Here is a 20,182-nt window from a genome sequence, read left to right on the forward strand (position 1 = left end):
CACTGTTGCTTACAGAGGGCAACCTAGACTCATTATTAATGGTGACAATAATAGCAATAGTAATTATTGGTATTGGTATAGCATTGGCTTAAATATACATTGTCTCTTTGGATAAATTACACCTTACTTTACTCCATGAAACCTTCTAAATTAATGACTGCCAGCTCCAAGCACATCAATGAACTCTTCAATTGCCATCTGCTCCTCCAACAATATTGTGTAAATAATTTTATATCACAGGGTAGTACTCAAGGCAAGAAGAGCTTTTCAGTGCCTTCTCACAGAAACTAGGACAGTTTGCCTATCCTCTCCGGATATGGAGCAGATTTCACATCTCAGGTTTTAGAATCTTTGTAAAAGGCTCCCTCCCCCAGTCCCTTGTATTAAACTACCACTGAGTCCTGTGTTTTCTTCCTTTCTTCAGTCACATTCCCATTGCCACTGCCTCACTGTATTCTGCACAGCCCCTTCATCATGCTACTGTGGCAGGAGCCTCCTGGGTGCTTCCTCTGGCTTCAGCTTCATTCTCTTCTGACCCAACTCTTCACCCCTCCCATATTAATCATTCCACTTAGAGTACATCATTTCCCTTAGTCAGGGACCAGCAAACTACAGCCCTTAGACCAAATCCTGCCCTCAGCCTGTTTTTAGCATTGAAGTTTTACTGGCACACAGCCTCCTTCATTCAGGTATGCTCCGTGACTGCTTCCTTGCATAGGACAGCCTGGCATGGTTGTGATAAAGGCTGTAAAACCCACAAAGCTGAAAATATTTATTATCCAGTGCTTTACAGAAAATGATTGCTGATCACTGCCATAAAGTAAAACTATCTGTTGGTTTTCTAGTGTTTGAAAACTTAGGCCCTGCAGGCTGAATTCTGCCCCAGACTTTCAGATTTTGAATTTCAGGACCTTTTGACAGGCAGCACTCTCCAGTCCTTCTCTGGCCACAGGTCCATTCCTCTCTCACCTTATACCCAGCAGCTTCATGCCTTTCTTTCATCTTTCTGGCCTCTGACATGTGAACGGGCAACCTCTGGCCTATAAAGTCTAAACTTGTCACTCTCCTTTGAAGCACTCCACAGTTTGACTTCAAGTTCAGTCTCATCTGCTAAAGTTATATCCTTCTCCATGAATTTTACATTCCAGCATCTCTTGTTCACATCATCCATCAAATAAAGCATGTGATGATGGCAATAATAAAAATAACAACAGATGGACACAGTGGCTCACACCTGTAATCCCAGTACTTTGGTAGGCCAAGGCAGGAGGATTGCTTGTGCTCAAGAGTTCAAGACCAGCCTTGGCAACATAGTGAGGCCTCATCTCTACAAAAACAAAAACAAAAAAAAAGTAGCCTGGTGTGGTGGTGCACACCTATATTCCCAGCTACTCAGGAGGCTGAGGTGGGAGGATCACTTGAGCTCAGGAGGTTGAGGCTGCAGTGAGCTGTGATTGTACCACCACTGCACTGCAGCCTAGGTGGCAGGACGAGACCATGCCTCTAAATAAACAAAACAAATAAACAAATAAAAATAACAATCACATGAAACATCAAGTACTAAGTGTGTCTATGGATTAGCCTTGGGTTTAGTGCTTTGCACTGACTCTCTTTTAATCCCCACAATAGAAGGACCCTGTGAAGTTGATGCTGCTATTTTACTCATATTAAAAATACAAAAACTGAGGCTTAGAGAAGTTAACTAACATACTCAAAGCCAGATATGTAGTGGGTGACAGAGACAAGATTCAAACTCAGGTCTGTGTGATGCCCAGGCACCGGCTCTTTCACTGGCTTCCACATACAAGGACACATCTCTCCCCAGATCCCACCTGGTCTGCAGGGTTCACTGCAGCTCCACATCTTCAGATACCTGCTCCATAAACCCAGCCCATGGGAATCTGCCCTTCTCCTGAAGCTCTGCACTACTGAATACCTCCACCTTGCATGCGATGGGTGTTCAGTAAAGACCTGTTGCCAGAGTGGATGTTCTGTTCATTCTTACACATGGAAGGAAGAGAAAAAGGGTTTTTATCAAGCTACTTAGCTTTTCTTTTCAGTGTATTATATTTTATTTGAAACCTTACCATGATATAATTCCCACTTAAACTATGTCATTTCTTAAATATGCAGAAAGGTGCTATCTGGGTCCAGTCAAAAGGAAATAATCCAACAGAAAACAGAAATTTCTCCTCCAAGTGGAAAGACCACTTTATGAGGTTTCCCCTGTGGTTGCTGCATACAATTAAAACAAGCTCAGCCTGTTGTGGGCATGTTGAGTCTTGTAGCCCTCTGTCCTCCTTCTCTCTTCACCCCAGCCGGCTTTATTGTGTTGATACATTTTATTGTCCATAACAGAGTGTACATATGGGGATAGAAGGTGATAAATCACTCCTCTTACTTAAACGCACATCCTCAGCATTTTTCAGAATAGTGGCAAGGAATGAAGGAAGAAGCAAACGTAAAGGTACAGACGTCTTCTATCTGCGGGTTTTTAAAAACTTACTATGATTAGTTTTCTTCCTTTGTTGCCTTTTCACCTCTTGGTTGTTTTAGGCAAAGGATTCAGGCAAACCCCAGCAAGTTTCTCACACTTACATCCGCGTGCGAGTCATTGAGGAAAGCACCCACAAGCCCACAGCCATTCCCCTGGAAATTTTCATTGTCACCATGGAGGATGACTTTCCTGGTGGGGTCATTGGGAAGATTCATGCCACAGATCAAGACATGTATGATGTGCTCACATTTGCCCTGAAATCGGAGCAGAAAAGCTTATTTAAAGTGAACAGTCACGATGGGAAAATCATCGCCCTGGGAGGCCTGGACAGCGGCAAGTATGTCCTGAATGTGTCTGTGAGTGATGGTCGCTTCCAGGTACCCATTGATGTGGTCGTGCATGTGGAGCAGTTGGTGCATGAGATGCTGCAGAACACTGTCACCATCCGCTTTGAAAATGTGTCCCCTGAGGACTTCGTGGGGCTGCACATGCATGGGTTCCGGCGCACCCTGCGGAATGCAGTCCTCACCCAGAAGCAGGACAGCCTGCGCATCATCAGCATCCAGCCCGTGGCAGGCACCAACCAACTGGACATGCTGTTTGCGGTGGAGATGCACAGCAGCGAGTTCTACAAGCCAGCCTACCTGATCCAGAAGCTGTCCAATGCTAGAAGACACCTGGAGAATATCATGCGCATCTCAGCCATCTTGGAGAAGAACTGCTCAGGGCTGGACTGTCAGGAACAGCATTGTGAGCAAGGCTTGTCACTCGATTCCCACGCGCTCATGACCTACAGCACGGCTCGCATCAGCTTTGTGTGTCCGCGTTTCTACAGGAACGTGCGTTGCACCTGCAATGGTGAGTGCAGTTTTGAGTGTTCCCTCTCAACTCCTGAGATTGTAGGAGTAGAATGAGTTACCATTCCAGCATGCCTGCATTCAATCATTCGTTCAACTAAATATTAAATGATCAATTACTGTGTGCCCAAAAGCCATGATAGATGCTGGGGCTGCAGGAGGTACAGTCCCATGTAGCTGTGCCTAAGTGAGCAGCACAGACAGACAAACAGGCGAGCCTATTTTATACATATTGTCAAGAAACATACAAAGTCCTGTGGAGGACCCAGCCGATAGGGATTTCCCCAAAGGGAGTATCCTCTAGGTAGAGATAAGGGTCAAGTAGGAATCAGGGTAGGGGAGGGAGAGCCTTCTAGGCAAGGGGCAGCTTGCATGAGGAAGGCTTAGGGGCATAAGAGGAACCTACACTGGGGATGGAAAGAGCTTTCCTCTGGCTGCAATAAGCAGGGCTGGGATGTGAAATAAGGCTTGAGAGCAGGCCCAGTCATCACACAAGGGCCATTAGCCAAGATGAAGAGTTTAGAAATTATCCCAAGGCAGTGAGAGCCATTGGCTGATGAGAAGCGAAGAAATGGCAGGATCAGATCTGTCTTTCACAGAGGGTGTGCTGATTGCAGAGGGGAATGGATTAGAGGAGGCCAGGCCAGAGGCAGGGAAACAAGTTAGGAAGCTGTTGCCAAGGGTAAGGGCAGTTCGATTTGCTTCAGTGAGAAACAGAGGCCAGATGTCCAGGAGCACAGTCAAGGGATGGATTCAGCCCTCAGAGTGGCAGGGAAGGAATGGTTCATGTTTGTTGATGTAACTGGAGTCACTGAACTTTGACCTTTACTAGTCAAAGCCATAGCTGCACAGAGTCACATGCCCGTAGTGATCGATGAGAAGCATTGCCCTCTCTCTCTTTTCCTCCGTCTGACATGTGGAGCCATAAATTCACTGCCCCCTTCTAAGAAAATTGCAGCCAGAGTTTTTCTAGCCAGTGTGAATTTGGTCCAAAGGGACCATGGCCAGAGGGAGGCCATTTGTAAAACATCCTTTAGGTAATTGGGGACAGGCAGGGCCCCGGCCTCTTCCCTTGCAGAAAGTTCTTGGTTGCAGTTTGGAGAATGAGCTCATCACAGGGAGGCCCTAGGGGTCATAACTCCCTCTGAGAGACACTTTGACAGGCTCCAAGCAGCCCATCAGTGTGCCAGCTGCTCTCTGTGGTATCCAGTGAATTCTGTTTGTGATTGCATCAGGTAGAAGCAGGGATGTCCAGACTTGTTTAATATGTAAATTAGCTGCAAAGTAACTCAAAGCATGCATGCTAGGTGAAATGCATTTCTGGCAGATGTCACCAACATGCAGAATTTATGAATGCCAGCTGTCTGGGCCTTATCTAGATTTCCTTTGTTGACAAACTGATACACCAAAGCTCTGCTAGGGTCTGTATGCGGTGATTCACACCAGGGTTCAAAACGGGTTCAGGACAGGACAGGGTAGACCCTGAAGACGAAACTATACCAGCTAATTAATCCTTGTACTCTGAGAACTCATTTATTTCTGAAAAAAATCTGTGAAGGCAGCAATGTCCTAGGCACTAAAGATTCAAAGCAAAAAAGATACAGTTACTGCCCTTAGGAGCTGACAATTGTAAAGTCAGCTTGCAAGCACCTACTTGCTGTAACAGTGCTACAGTAAATGCTAGGGCATGGAAGGGACAGAATCCCTTCTATGGTCAAAGGAAAGCTGTCTGCAGTATCTGTACACAGAGACCACCAATGTGCTAGGTCTTCAGGGATGACTTCATCAAGAAGAGACTGGGGTGGGAGCAGGGAGCAGACTGAATAATTCTTTAAAAGAAGGATTTAGAGGAGTGGTTTTGATGGAGATAGAGGGGTTGCTCTTGATTTTACATAAGACACTAATGTCTTAAATGCAATATGTTTCAAAGTGATGTTTTGGCCCTGTTCTCTAGTCTCCATAAACCTTTCTACTCCCAGTAAATTTAGAATGCCAGAAGGTTTTGTGAGTCAGGCCCCAGCCATCCCAAGAGGAGGCCTTCTGGGTTTGAAAAGCCAGCATTTGCTCAAGAAGAGCTTTGTGCAGAGTCAGGCCAAGCTCTCAGCCTTTTCTCACCTTCAAGTCACTCTTATAATTAAGCTATAAAATGAAATTCTAGATTTTAGTGGTAAAGGAGCTCCAAAGGTCATCTAGCCCAGCCCTATCTTCAGCAGGTGATACATGATAATCTTTGTTTTATAGATGTGGTAGCTTTGTGCCTTGCCCAGGGCCATACAGCTGATGAGAGTAGCATACTGATTCAAGAAAGGGCCCTCTTGGGCCCCTACTTTATTATCTGCATCTTAAGAACAGGGACTCTTCCTTTTTAAATGTGAATCATAACCTCAGTGCTATGTACTGTATAAGAATCCTCAAATATAGTCATGCATGGCATAACAACGTTTCATCAACAAGGGACCATGTATACAGTGGTAGTCCCATACGATTATAATACCATATTTTTATTATGCCTTTTCTATGTTTAGATTTGTTTAGATATAAAAATACTTACCATTGTGTTACAATTGCTTACAGTGTTCAGTACAGTAGCATGCTGTACAAGCCTGTAGCCTAGGAGCCATAGGCTGTACCATATAGCCTGGGTGCATAGTAGGCTGTGCTATCTAGGTTTGTGTAAGCGCACTCTATGATGTTTGCACAATGACGAAATAGCCCAACGATGCATTTCACAGAATATATCCCCATTATTAAGCAATTCATGACCGTAATGTGATTTTCCTAGCAGAATGATCGCCAGCCTCACAATACAATCCCAGTAAGGCAGAAGTTCTCTCAGACTCCTGTGTGCATGGGGCTTACTAAATGCCCATTGCTGAGCCCCACACTTAGATATGGACAGTTGGGGTGGAGCCTAGGATTCTACACATGTAGCCTGGATGACTCTAATGTTACTGGTCAGGAAACCAAACTTTGAGAAATCACACAGCAAGATAAAGAGGAAAGCGTTTCCTCCAGGGGCAGGAGCAGGCTCTTTGTTTTAATAGCAATAGCTTTCTCACTTCTAGAATTATCTTTCAAATAAAAATACAACCATGAATTGTTAAGGTAAGCGTTAGGCATTTTTAGGCATTTTCTTGTTTATTGGAAAGGAAAAATAATTGAATTCAATAAATGCCCCTCCCCCCAAACACACACACACACACACACACAGACGTGCACCCACAGGTGCACACACTCACATGCAATTAGTATTGGCTGCTCTTCTGTTTACTCTAGGAGGTCGGCAGATTCATTAGATGGAGTTTCCCACCACTTGGTGGAATAATTAGCATGATAAATAGAGGTAACTGTCCACTCTGGGCTGTGTAGTAATGTATAGACAAATTTGGCCTCAATATTCTATCCTCCTCCCAACTTCCAGCTCATCTTTTTCTCATACAGAGAGTTTTTGGTCCAATTATCATCATTAGCATCTTGAACCAAAATGCTGAGTTGTTTTAACAAAATGAAAGCAGACTTGAATTTTGGTGCCAAATAAGCTTATTAGACTCCAGCTACAAACAAGCATCGTGTCTGAACAAACTTCAAGAGATACAAAGGTCTGATGTTGTGAGGTGGTTCCTGGTGAACTTCAGAGGTGCAATGAACATTATCACTTCAGTAAGAAAGACTGACACCAACTTAAATTAATTGAGGATGATAGATGTCCTCGAGCCCGTATAGGAGATGTGCAAGAGAAAGGGGTGTCACGGCAGCCTATGGGGCCTTGTTGATTGTCCATTTTTGAAAAATTGCATTCAAAAATCTAATACATAAATATATCAAAAAGGACACACTTGTCCAGTTGGATGGACTGCCAGTGAGACCATCAGAGTTTACAACCAGTGTGTTTATGGGTGTGGTGGAAGAAGTGGATGCCTGATTTGTCAAGTCTTTATTAAGAAATGTAATATAGAATGGAACCTAGTGCTCCAAATGAAATGGATGGAGTGTTTGCCATGGGCGAAGCCCTGCGATGTACAGAAATGAGTCAGACACCAGCCATGCCCTCAACCAGTGGGGGATGGCACTGTCATAGGGTTTGCTCAGTGTATAAAGAGGAATCACTGGAGGTGGTGCTGCCTGAGCAAGGTCTGAAAGGATGCCTGGAATTATCTAGGTGACCAGGATAGGGGATTCCAAACCAAAGGGCATGAGAGCCAAGGCATGGAGTTAAGAACTGGTGTGCAATTCAGTGCACGGATCGAGGTACGGACAGAGAGAACAGATAATGTTTATCAAGCCATGACCAGTTCGCATGCTGTTTTTCACATACATGTAATTGCATTTAACTCTTACTATAATCCTAAAGAGTAGGTCTCATTAACTTTTTTCAAAAATTAAGGAAACCAAAACTTGGAAAGGTCAATTGACTCACTCAGAATCACAGAGCTACAGAGCTAGTCAATGACAGAGCCAGGATTCATCCTTGACTCTCTTATTCAAAGCATTTTTTAACCACAGCAGCTTACCACTTCTGCACAGATTTGAAAGAAACTCAGAAGTTTCCTAATCCAAACTCCCACCCACAGCAGACATCCTATTTTCTATATTCCTGGCATAGTAATTCAGCCAAAGTTTGAGCACCAGTACTGGGAGCTCACAAGGCAGCACTGAGATGATCTTCTGCCTTATAGCACACCAGGACCTCTCTCCTTGTCACATCATCTAGCTGTATCCCTCAGAGCCACGCAGACCCAACCTGGCTAACCCTGCTTCTACAAGCTGCCCTCTGGATAACTAAGGATAATTGTTATGACCCTTTGAATCCTCTTCCTAGCCAAACACAAGAAGTTCCTTTGCTCCTTGACTGTAAACAAATATGTGCTGTAAAAAGTTATAGATGGTGTTATTGGGGCACGGAGGAAGCATAAAGGAGGGAGTTATCAGCTCTACTTGGAGGAGTACAAGAAAGACATTGGAAGCAATGAAGCATGTCACAATAGGTCTTTACCAGGTAGAGGATGCATTTTAAGCATCCTTTTGTTTACTTATTCTCTCAGCAGTTAATTGAATACTGTTTTGCACCAGGCCCTGGGTGGGGTGCTGGAGATACAGTGGTGAAAGAGGCTGATGTGATCCCCATTCCCATGGAGCATGAAACAGCATCATGCATTGGGCAAATGACAGAGAGCTCAGTGGGGTGGGTGGTAAGAAGTCAGGACAGTCCTTCGGAGGGATAAGGTAGGATAGGTAAAGCAGGCCTGCTGACAGGTGGCCACTGCACTTCTAATAAGCACTGTAAAATAAAATGATGACAGCTTCTGTGAGGTAGTCAGACACTTAAAACATGTTCGTGATGTGTTTTTATATAGCAGAGAAGAATCTGAAATTGGGTTTGCACTTTGGCCGGGGTTTGCTAATGCTAATTTTCTAAGGAGAGAGCCAATCCCAGTGGCTTTGAGTAACCCTCAGTGTTGTCTATTAATCTTAACAGGTTAACTCCCTACAAACTGGGAAGTTTCTATTTTTCATTCATAAGAAATACACCTCGGCAGATCCCTCATCTCCAGTACGCATGAGTCCCACATTGCCAGGAGAGGTGTGGAGGTCCCCATCCTGGTGGTGATACCAGCTTCTCAGTGTATGTGTATTCCTTTCTATAGTCCACCCATACACAGCTGCCCCAGAGAGGAGGTCTTGAATGAAATTGCACTTGGCCTTTAGTGAAATCATACAGAAAATATGGCTGAGTCAAGCAAACACCATCTGGAGGATTCTCTGCTTCCGAGAGAACCATAAGAAATGACTTCAAAGTTGAGACTTCCGTTTTTTAAAACTTCTCACAGGCCATGAATTAAGAAGGGAGCTTATTGACTTATGTGGCATTTGCCAGGACATGGCATGTGGGTAAAGCACGTGAATTCAGGGCATGGGATGTTTACCATTAGTTATTGGATTATTCAATGTATGAGGCAGCAACATAAATCAAGAGGTTGAATCAGCTTAAAGTGGCAGCATAATAATCACAGCTAGATACTGAAATATTGGCTAAAAGCAGAGACTTAATCCAGGGGGCTGCGGGAATGCTGGGGAGATAGGAGAGGAGAGTCATAAATATGGTAGCGAAACCTTATAAAACTTCCAGAGGATCACCCTTCTCCTCCCTGCATGTTCCAAAGCTTTGATGCTTCTGCTGAAGTGAATTGCCTGTTGTCACCTCTACAGAAAGTGACCTAAATTTCCACCTGAGCAAAAAATCAGGAGGTGGAAAACCTTTCAGGGAATGGTCACATGGTGTGCGTGTTTCTCCTGGTGGACAAGGTGCATGAAAAAACACCTGCACCTGAGATGGAGAAGGTGGTGATGGGGTCAACACAGGTGCATGTTCCTGTGACGCGGATGAGTAACAAGCCCCAGGCTTTATTCTGTGCCTACAGTGCACACAGAATTTCATATTTCGTATCACCTACTGCGGACTTACAAATCATGAATCTGATCAAAAAAGGACAACAAGGGAAAAGTTACACCTGAGTTCAGGTCTCTGCCATGTTGCTGGGTCAAATTAGTGTTTCTGGTTTTGAGACCCTGTAGTAATTTGTTTTTATAATAAATGTTTTTCTTTACAAGTTGCTTTCACATACACTAGCCCATTTCATTCTCACAGCACTATAAAGAATCATTATCTTAATTTTTCAGAAAAGGAAATCGAGACCTAGAAAAGACAAGTGAGTAGTTCAAGGCCACACAGTGACTAAATTAAAAAAATTAGCCAGGGCCAAAATCCAGGTCTGCGTCTATGTCAATGCAGTATTGTTTACTTATCTTACTACCCCACCTTCCCAAGAGAAACTGGGAATGGGGAACAGAGCTTACTCTGCCATTTTTGTGACAGGAGCTAAACACATCTGATCCTGCCCTGACATACCATAAATGGCGTCAGTTGGTTTGATGAAGTGGGACCCTTCCCCCTTCATGCTTACTGTGGTACCAAATTGATGGATGTCGAAGATGCAGAGCATGTCAGCCTATGAGCCCACATCCCCCAAGCTGTCACCAAACACAGCACAAGTTAATTAAATCTGCATTACTTCATGATAGCTAATAAGATAAACTTTCTCCCAGAAGCCAGCAGGAGTTGATACTGCCTTCTCTTAACTGGTACTCTGAAGCCAATGGAGCAGTGTTTGCCACCAGAGAGGGGGTCTTTAAGGCTCTTAACAATAACAGGTGTATACACTTCCTGAAAAGGAGATGACAGAAACATGTGATTTCTAAAAGCGAGTTAACCCTTCAGCATCCATTTAAAGCTTACTAGCTTCTATTTAGATAAAGATTGTAGGGCTTTGGCTGGAAAGAGGGTTGCTATCCCCAGAAAAGTGTTTCCTGGACCCAGACATGGGTATATCTGAGACCAAGGGGACACATAACATTGTTCAGGGTTGGCATACAAAGGTTAAGTCTCTCTAACAATATATATTTCATAAAGGACTTAATTTTTTACAATAGTTCATAGAGAGGAAAGAACTGCAATGTGGCATATGGGTGTTATTTCCTTTTGAGGAATCTGTTTTTCAAAAACTAAAAGTTTTTCTAGGCATACACTGCAGTTTGCACACATGATCACATCTGTCCCCTGCTAAGGAGGATGTTACATTTACACTGGCCTGCAGATTCTAATCTGCCTTCATACTTCCTTGAGCCACAAGAGAGTGGGCCCATGAGCAAAGCAAACAGACAACAGCAGCCAGAGCCCAAATGTTTATGGCTGAGCATTTCCAGGCTGGAACTCAGGGAGGAGTCCCCAGAGGATTTTTAAAACATCAAGAGGTACAAAAACTATCCTTGCCAAAAACTATCCCCTTAATCCTAAAGAACCTATTAAAAACAGAAAGAAAGAAAAGGAACCTAGAAAAGTCATTGCTGCTGGAATGAATGTAAATACTCATGATTATATATCTAATATTTATATTGATATTATTCATCTTAGAATGTACTTATAATATTTATATTTGAGTATTTTTTTACACATCCTCAAACTACAGTTTTCACAGTGGGGACTGGATCTAACATAATCCATTAATTAATGACCATGATTTAATTACATGTCATGCTATGGGTTATGACAGAAGGAAATAAGAAAAAGAGCTATGAGGCTGAGCTCCAGTTGCTGGTCTAATTACCTCTGTGCTTTAATCTAAAACAGGAGATATGGGTAAGAAAGTGAGGAACCCTGTTGTCACAGGATCCTTGGGGTGTTGCTTCTCCAGCTGAAAACCTCTATGGCTGGTGACACCTTTTGCCTGAGTATTTCTCACACCCACTGGGCTTATTCTGCCCACTCAGCCCAGCAGACTGCACTTGACTCACACTACTGGCCCAGATCCCACACCTGCCAAGGGCGAGCCAGGCGTGGAGTAGTGAGGGGTGTGTGGGCCACTGCGCACAGCCAGGCATGCTGGCACATGAGCAAGCATGGGGTTCGGCCACTGTGCACAGCAAGGCACGCCCACTGCTATGGCAGGGCAGGCAGCTCCAGGCGCCAGCTCAGGTACCAGCTCTGTGTGAGGCTGCAGCTGGACCAGATGTACCACACATGGCTTCTGCTGCAGGCACTTGCATCCGGACATGCAGAATGCAGTGGTGCCCAGAAGCTTGGAGATACCAGGAACCACAGAACCTCAAAGAGAGTGTCACAGCCCTGACTTGGGGATCCCCTAGGTCTGGGCTTTTCTCTCCTTCTTGTCGCCCGCAATGTGGAGAGCAGGGGAGGTGTTTTTCAGCCCTGTTTGTGTTACAGCTCTTTCAGTCCCACCATTCGTCAGGTCCTGAGTTTTTGTCCTGTGTCCAGGAAGAATGAATCACACAGACAAGTGGAAGGTGAGCAAGGTGGAGAGGAGCTTCACTGAGTGACAGAACAGCTCTCAGGAGCCCCGCGGTGGGTAGCCCCTTACTGCAGGCAGGTTGTCCCAAGGAGTATCCAGCTCTCAGCAGAAAGGAGACCCACAGTGGGTAGCTCCTCTCTGCAGCTGCTAGTCTGGATATCTGTTTGAGTCTGGCAGGATCCAGGGTTTTTATGGGCTCAGAAGAGAGGACATGCATGCTGATTGGTCCATGGCTGGCCATGGCAGACCCAGAAAAAGCACCATAAGTTCTCACTCCAGTCTGTGGAATACCTGGAACTGACAGCCCAGCCCCCAGGCTTCAGATAGTCCCTGGCTTGAAGGTGGGGCATCACTGGGGACCTGCCCTTTTCTGTCCAGGAGCCCATCTGCCTCCTGCCACCATCAACATGTCATCCACCGTATCCAGGCTGTTCATTTTCTGAAGGGCGCCTGCAGGCTTGTGCTGAGCCACCCTCAGCACCCCCGCAGCTTCCCTCCCGTGCTCATCTATGCACAAAGTTGAGATGGGCCCAAGGTGGCAGCGGGACTGATGTGTTAGCACCACCCTGAATGCATGCATATCCATCCAGGTTGCGACAGAACCCAGGTTTGGCCACAACTTCGCTTCAAAATTGGAGTGGGTGCTGGGAGCAGGGAGAGGTCAAGGAGCAGGAGCAGGCACTTCTGAGCTTGCAGGGGAAAGGGGTGGGGCTTCCTGGGCATCCAAGAGTGCAGGGATGCCCAGGTCCAGAGCTGTGGCTGGGCAGCTGTGGCTGTGCCCAGGAGTGCAGGGTTCACACTTGCCAACTCAGTAGGGGGGTGGGGCTCCCACCAGCCCCGTGGAGCATGCAACCCCAGCCACGCCTTCCCTGCTGCAGCTGGCATCTTCACAGTGGCCATTCCAGACAGGCTATCGCTACCATCACTGTGCTAATTACCAGGGTGGGACTGATGGTAAAAGAAAGGGCCAAAACATGTGAATAAAAGGTAGAAGTACCCAAACGCTAGATTTGTTCTGAAATACAGAGTTTAATTTTTATTGTATTCACTTATAGCTGTTTTTTAAAAATGTTACCATTATTCCTATAGGGATAAATATCTTTGCTATCATGCATCTGAAATTATCTGGCCCTTTTTTCCCCCTTTGGAACAGTGGCTTTTAAGCTGGATTTCTGATGATTCAAGGTTTCTTTGCAATGCAGCCATTACATTAGAACAGAACAGCCTATTAATGTAATATCTATAGCTGTATCTCAGAAACACAGAAGCTTATAAAGAGGTTTAGACTTAGACTGGCTGAAATAGAAGGGAAAGGGCATGTCCACAGAATAGAAAGTAACAGATTTCTTAAATACATAAGCTGCTGTTTCCATACGTACTTGAAAGGTAATGCCCAAGTAACTCAGAAGTTACATCTATTTGATGGGATGCATGTTGTGATTCATATGTGTACATTGCCACCTCCATGTGGCTGAGGTTAGCATTGGGCTCAATTTGCATTTTAAGCATAGACTACTGGTCAATATTTAGGAGCTAGCTAGACGTGTGCAGGCTGTCAGAGACTGAGATGAAGTCACATGTGAAAACAGCAGAGTCAGCTGGTAGGGTTGTGAACTTATTATGAATAAACATTAAGGCAGGCCTGAGGTTAAGCTACTAGCTGTGGTTAGCTCGTTCCTTTGTTACTTAAAGGATCTCACCCTTCATGCCTGAGTTAAAATATTCCCTTCCTTTGGGAAGACTTCTGACATTCTCCCAGGAGACAGAATTTTTCCTCCTCTGGTCCCTCCATTGTGCTCACCTACCTGCCAAAGCAGTTATCTTATTATATTATCATCATGTGTTTTCATGTTGTTTCTTGAGGTGAGAGAAAGGAGGCATCATATCCTTTCATCTTTACATTCCCAGGCCTTATACCTCTTTGGCCCCAAACAATTATTTGTTGAATAAATGCACCAAAAGTTATTTAAAAACTAGTTTTCAAAAGTTTCTTGAAATAGATCATGAGATGGTCACACAGGTGTTTTAAGTTCCATGAATATTGATTAATACATGGCAGGACTACAGATTTGGTTGGGGAGGAAAATAGGAAGATGTATTTCAGGGCATTTAAGTATTATAGAACCATTTGTACAGCCCTTTCCAAATTTTCAGTTAAAAACGCCTTCATCTTCTAAGACTTTGTAAGCTGGATCAGTGCCAAGAGTGTCTTTTATGACTGAGCTGTAAACCAGTGGAAAATGGGATTTATGAATTCTGAGTTTGCTGGTGCTACTTATATTGCTCCTGTCAAGGATTACAGATTTTTTAATGTTTATAAGTAGTTAGCATTAAATTCCTGCTTTCTTCTGCACAAAGAAATGACTGTACCTTGGGACAATATGCTTTTTTTTTTTTTTTTTTGAGACAGGGTCTTGTTCTGTTGCCCAGGCTAGTGTGCAGTGGCATAATCATAGCTCACTGTAACCTCAAATTTCTGACCTTAAGTGATCCTCCAACCTTGGCCTCCTGAAGTGCTGGGATTACAGGCATGAACCACTGCACTTGGCTGGGACAATATGCTTAATGATAAGGAAAGACTTAGGATGAAAAGGAGCATGATCATGGGCCAGATCTGGCTGAGGAATGAGCTGCTGGTATGCTACACATTCTCAGTTCACGGGGAAAGGGCACTCCTTTAGGCTATGCCTAACTGATTTAGGAAACCACTGTTTCAGTTGTGGGTTTTTTTAAATTTGTGTCTCCTTTTTTATAATTCTTTTACCACTGAAAGTCTTACCAGATTAAAAGCAGCCTAATTACATGTGAAATACTCAGGACCTTTGGAAAATGTGCTTCCTTCAGTGGGTTCATATTTGCACAGTTCTTAAATAACTCACTTGGGTCCTGAATTCTGCCTTAATCAGTTAATCTGCTTTCCAGGATTTCCCTTCTGAGGGATTAACCTTTCATCTTACTGTGCTGTGAACATCGAACAGGTAGAAGGGAAGCCTTCCCTTGCCAAGGATAATTCTGCTGTTTTTTTGATAGCTGGTAGGGCACATTTACAGCTAATCAATAACATAGCATGTAGTAGAAGGGATTAGGAAACAATGTGAGTTGTGTTTCAACAATTTAAAATTAGTCATACTTTTCTTTAGAAATGTCTTTTTTTTTTCCCCTCTGAAATCAACCTCCAAGTTCTTGAGGGCAGGAGGGAGGTGCAGAAGAAATCTAAACTCAAGTGATACATTCAAATAGCCTCCAATCTGCAGAAACCCCACTCCAATAAATACTACAAGCCCTTGCATTGTGATCTTTCTTCAGCTGAAGTTGGTCCAGATGTAACTTAACATATTTTAGCCTAAAACAAGGAGCTCTGTTTACTCTTTGTACCTAATCTGCACCAGTCTGGCAGTGAAATTTGGCAGATGTAGGGAAATTGGATGGACACCCACACCAGGTGAAGCCCATTCAGGTGTGCCTACTTCTGAGTGGCATCTTTGTGACTCAGCTCAGAGCCCACATATCCCAGCTCTTGAGCCATTTGTGTGTTCCCTTTGAACCTTTTCTATCTTCCCTGGAGTGCAGGGTGAATCCCTTTGTGTACTGATCATGCATATTCCACCTTTGTCACAGGAGGACTGTGTCCGGGGTCCAACGATCCTTGTGTGGAGAAGCCGTGTCCAGGGGACATGCAGTGTGTCAGTTATGAAGCCAGCAGGAGACCGTTCCTCTGCCAGTGTCCACCAGGGAAGCTCGGAGAGTGCTCAGGTGCAGAGTGGAGTGGAATGATGCAGATCTAATTTCATATTCCTGAAACACTTGCCCTTGAGTAAATTACACCATCCAAGTCCTCCCAGAAAACGTTTCTTTATGCATGCAACCTTTTCCTTTAGAATGGACCACAGCTAACATCCACACTCACATTTACTTAGGATTTATCACAGCTGCAGCTTGTGCTAAGGGAGCATGTAAAGACTATGGGCTTCTTACATAATGGAGAGACTGCAACATGTGTTTTTTATCATGTCTCATGGCTGTTAAGGGTGTGAAATTGTGGAAAATAAAAGGCTGTTGGTTGGGCAGAGGAATCTGAGGATCTGTGGCATGGCCTTTGATGCTCAGGGTGCTGCACAAATCCACAGCCGCAAAACCAAGATCCACAGAAGGCATAGCTAAGCCAATCCTGTTGACCTTCCTTAGAGTCATCCCCATCTGGTGAACCAAGTAAGCAGACTCCCTACTGGAAATGTTTAACTAACTTCATGTTCCAGCTGGAGAGGTGCTCACCTCTGCATCTTAAGGAAAAAAAAATCAGTATTTAAGTTATTTTAATCTAAATGATCCTGTTTCTGATCTTCATTCAATTTCTATACTTCATTTGATTCATATATTCTCTGCCACTTCTTTACTCAGAAAAGAATATTTTTCATTTTGGGTACCAATAGAATCCTCTTTAGGTATATTTAAAATATAGGCACATTGATAACAATTTTGGGATCCAATAAATAGTTGGAATAAAAAAATAACCATGCCTAGTATGTGCAAGGAACTTTGCAAGCATTGAGTTCTAGAAATTCAGCCTTTGCAAAGAGAAGCACTGTTCCTAAAAGTAGAAACCAAAGCTCCTTCATAGCTGATTTCAAGAATGGAGCTGCAATTAAGTAAAGGGACCACCTGGATGCTTACCTAAGTCATGTAAGGCTTAGAATTACAGGAAAATTATGCTGTCTCCTGTTTCTACATATGCACTGTGCACATAGCAGGTGGATGGGTAGGGGGATCATAAAGCCAAATCTTCTAAGTTCTGGAGTCACTTCCTGCTGACTTTTCTCCTTTCTATCTAGAAAACTTCTGATTGTCTATAATTATTGTCCATTTGGTATATTTCCACATATTCCACCTTTCCCCCCAGCAAGGCAGCTTTTCAGCCATTACTTTTCTTGTTAAAACATAAAGTTGAAGGCAATTTAAAAAAAAGAGTAAACTCAGAATTGAGCAATCGAGTTGGACAAAATTTAAGGGGAGCCTCGAAATTAATGGCCAGAAAGTGAAAGTGTGACTACATGAATTTCCTTTATATCAGTTATCTTTTTGCAACATTAGTACAAATGACATACATTAGCTATTAGGCATTAGGATACTTGGGGAACATGGATATCATTTGGAAATGGTTTTGTTTTCTTTGTTTCATGGAGCTGAAAGTTCTCGAATGCCTAAGTGATTGGGGGTTGGGGGAGGAATGAAGGGGTATCTTTTAATAATGCTCATTTTAGAAAGTGGGAGTTGGAAATTTAGTAACATTAAGAAAATCCAAGTTGTGGAATTTACCAAGTGGCTCTTGGCATGAGGCAAATAAGATGATTTGGTGGCTGACTGGTTAATATTTTTTTCACTCTGAAATTAGAGTGTGATGTGAAATGGAAAACTGGTTTTTAATCAAAAATGATTTCTCCTCATTGCCTTCATTAACTTCTCATGCATGGTCTTTAATCAACTTGGTTGGTGGTTGTTGGGTGATTTCATGTGTCTCTGTTCCTTTCTGGATGTTAAAAATATATATGTCTTCTCATAACGGTCTTTTCAGGGCACACTTCTCTCAGCTTTGCTGGAAACAGTTACATCAAATATCGGCTTTCTGAAAATAGCAAAGAAGAGGATTTCAAACTAGCTCTGCGTCTTCGAACACTGCAAAGCAATGGGATTATAATGTACACCAGAGCAAATCCCTGCATAATTCTGAAGGTAATTAAAATGGGTTATCTTTTTCTGCAGTCAGTTCTCATGTTAGTGTTTTGGCTCTTGGATTGGGGAACGGCTGAAATCATTTTGTCTTTTAAGTTCAGAAGACCAGAAGCAGACTTCTGGGCAAAGGGGAGCAGCGGCAGAACTGGGAAGGGAGCCAACATCCCATTTCCTTTTGAACATTCAGCTTCAAAATTGGCTCTTGGTACATGGGGCATCTCTCTTGAGAGCGGGTTCAAGGGCTGGCTTCCTTTGAGCTGTAATCGCTCAACAGTTCATTAGAATGTGTCTCCTAATCAATTCCACAACAGGGGTGGTCCTTTAAAAGGATTGGCTGTATCGTTTTCTACCACATGGGTCTATCCCCACTGACTTTTGAAGGCAATTTCTGTTCTTGCTCAGGGAGGAAATTGGAGACAGGGGGTATAGGAGATTTCGTATGTCCTATCATGACCCAAGTAGCCCAATTTTTCAGTCATTTCCTAGCCTCAGAAATGCTCCTAAAGCAGCCAGATTTATTTTAGAGCAAGTCTGACATCTATATTCACCTCAAGGATTCTGGTGCCTTTGTGAAAACAACAATAATAATGGTAATGGGCCAGGTGTGGTGGCTCACACCTGTAATCCCAACACTTTGGGAAGCTGAGGCAGGTGCATCACATGAGGTCAGGAGTTCGAGTTCCAGCCTGGCCAACATGGTGAAACCCTGTCTCTACTAAAAATACAAAAATTAGCTAGGCATGGTAGTCGGCACCTATAATCCCAGCTACTTGGGAGGCTGAGGCCACTGCACAGTAATCTGGGTGACAGAGACTCTTTCTCAAAACAAACAAACAAAAACAAGCAAACAAGATAACAGCTTTTTGTGCATCATTTATTTTTATTATACAGCTAATATGATAAGTTTGTTTCATGTTATCCCCATTTGATCAAGAGGAGGACAGTGGTTCAGAGAGGTTAAGTTATTTACCCAAAGTTGCACATCTAATAAGTGATGAGGCCTGGATCCCACACTCTAGTCTCTCTCACTCCATGCCGTTAATCTCCATACTATCCCTCACTCTCCATCTTGCTACTACAACTCATTTATTAAAAATCACATTCTGGGCATCTGTAGACCAGATTCAGCCTTCTAGTATGGAGGAGAGAAGGCAGGAGAAGGAGGGAGACGTGTTTCATCTCATGCTATTCTCACCAGGTTGCTATGTCAGCCTGTTGTAAATGCTCTTCAGAAACATTCAGAGTCCGTCCAGTGGAAAATGCCTTTTCACCTGGAAATGGCAAGAAATCTTTTTCTTCCCAAGGTTTCAGCTTGAAGAGTACATGGTGGACCTTTCCAGCTTCTGCCCTTTGATTGTTTGATATGTCAGATCCAAGTTGATTAGGTGGCCCAGGCTTTAGTTCTAAAGGCAGGTGAGGAAGGAGAGAAATAGAGAACATTAAATGCCAGTGGGCTTCTCTTAATGATCACATAGGGCTTTACTTACCCACGTCTGGTATTGCCAGGTATTATTTGATGGCCATAGTTGAGTGAGCAGGGAGTCGAAGTTTAAAAGTTGGTTACTTTTGTAAGCAGTCTCCCACTCTCCTTATTCATTCAACTCAGAATTCTAATTTAAGATCCAGAAAGGAAAGCAATATTTTTAAAAGAAAATAAGAAAAGTACTTTGATTGCACAGTTTTAGAGAACGATGCATTCAAATCAGATATTCATGGTGAAAGAAGAAAAACTCAAAAACCTAAGTCCTGCCTTTATTTTCTTCTGGCCCCGGAAGCAGCATGCCTTGGGTCAGTAGATCATTTTCTAAATAGCCCTGAGAGTTGAGGTTTTGTATAATTGCTGGGAAAGTGTTTGGAGCATTCAGAGCTACCAGCTCTTAGGGCTCTACGTGGGCCTCACTGACCTTTCTGTCTCCTCCTTCATGCTCTAACAGGGCTGGTGGTTGAAAATAGTTTCTATTAGTAAATCTCTTATAGAGCATTAAATTTGAGAGAGAACAAAAATATTGAACCTGAATGGCTTGATCCTAAAATGGAGCTTGTGATTTGACACTTCACTGGCAAAAGTCTAAAATGTGCAGATCCCAGAGGATACGAAAGAAGAATAATTAAGCCTTTTAGGCAGCTCCAGCTCCTAAGGTATATTGCATTTCATGAAACAAGCATGTTTCTGAAAGTTGTGTAAATTGAATCTTGGTAAATGGAATTCTAATAAACTAGAGATGGATGCTATTTGA

The 20,182-nt window shown here is 43.5% G+C and overlaps 1 protein-coding gene across 11 annotated transcripts in view, besides 1 other annotated feature; it reads left to right on the forward strand.

Moving 5' to 3' along the window:
- FAT3 (FAT atypical cadherin 3) overlaps nucleotides 1-20,182 on the forward strand; it is a 671,656-nt gene that overhangs the window by 616,560 nt on the left and 34,914 nt on the right. For all 11 annotated transcript variants that reach the window (XM_017017179.3, XM_017017178.3, XM_017017180.2 and 8 more), the window contains 3 exons: nucleotides 2,557-3,355; nucleotides 15,837-15,971; nucleotides 17,788-17,945. In XM_017017179.3, coding sequence (XP_016872668.1) covers nucleotides 2,557-3,355; nucleotides 15,837-15,971; nucleotides 17,788-17,945 — 1,092 coding nt within the window. The remainder of the gene's footprint in view (nucleotides 1-2,556; nucleotides 3,356-15,836; nucleotides 15,972-17,787; nucleotides 17,946-20,182) is intronic.
- Nucleotides 12,427-12,927: an enhancer, noted in NCBI's record as "H3K4me1 hESC enhancer chr11:92586970-92587470 (GRCh37/hg19 assembly coordinates)". NCBI's record gives its function as "activates a minimal SCP1, AML or CMV promoter by ChIP-STARR-seq in naive H9 embryonic stem cells {active_cell/tissue: H9 hESC(naive)}" and the evidence as "EXISTENCE:reporter gene assay evidence [ECO:0000049][PMID:30033119]".

The sequence above is a fragment of the Homo sapiens genome, chromosome 11 (genome assembly GCF_000001405.40).
Source record: "Homo sapiens chromosome 11, GRCh38.p14 Primary Assembly".
Taxonomy (NCBI): domain Eukaryota; kingdom Metazoa; phylum Chordata; class Mammalia; order Primates; family Hominidae; genus Homo; species Homo sapiens.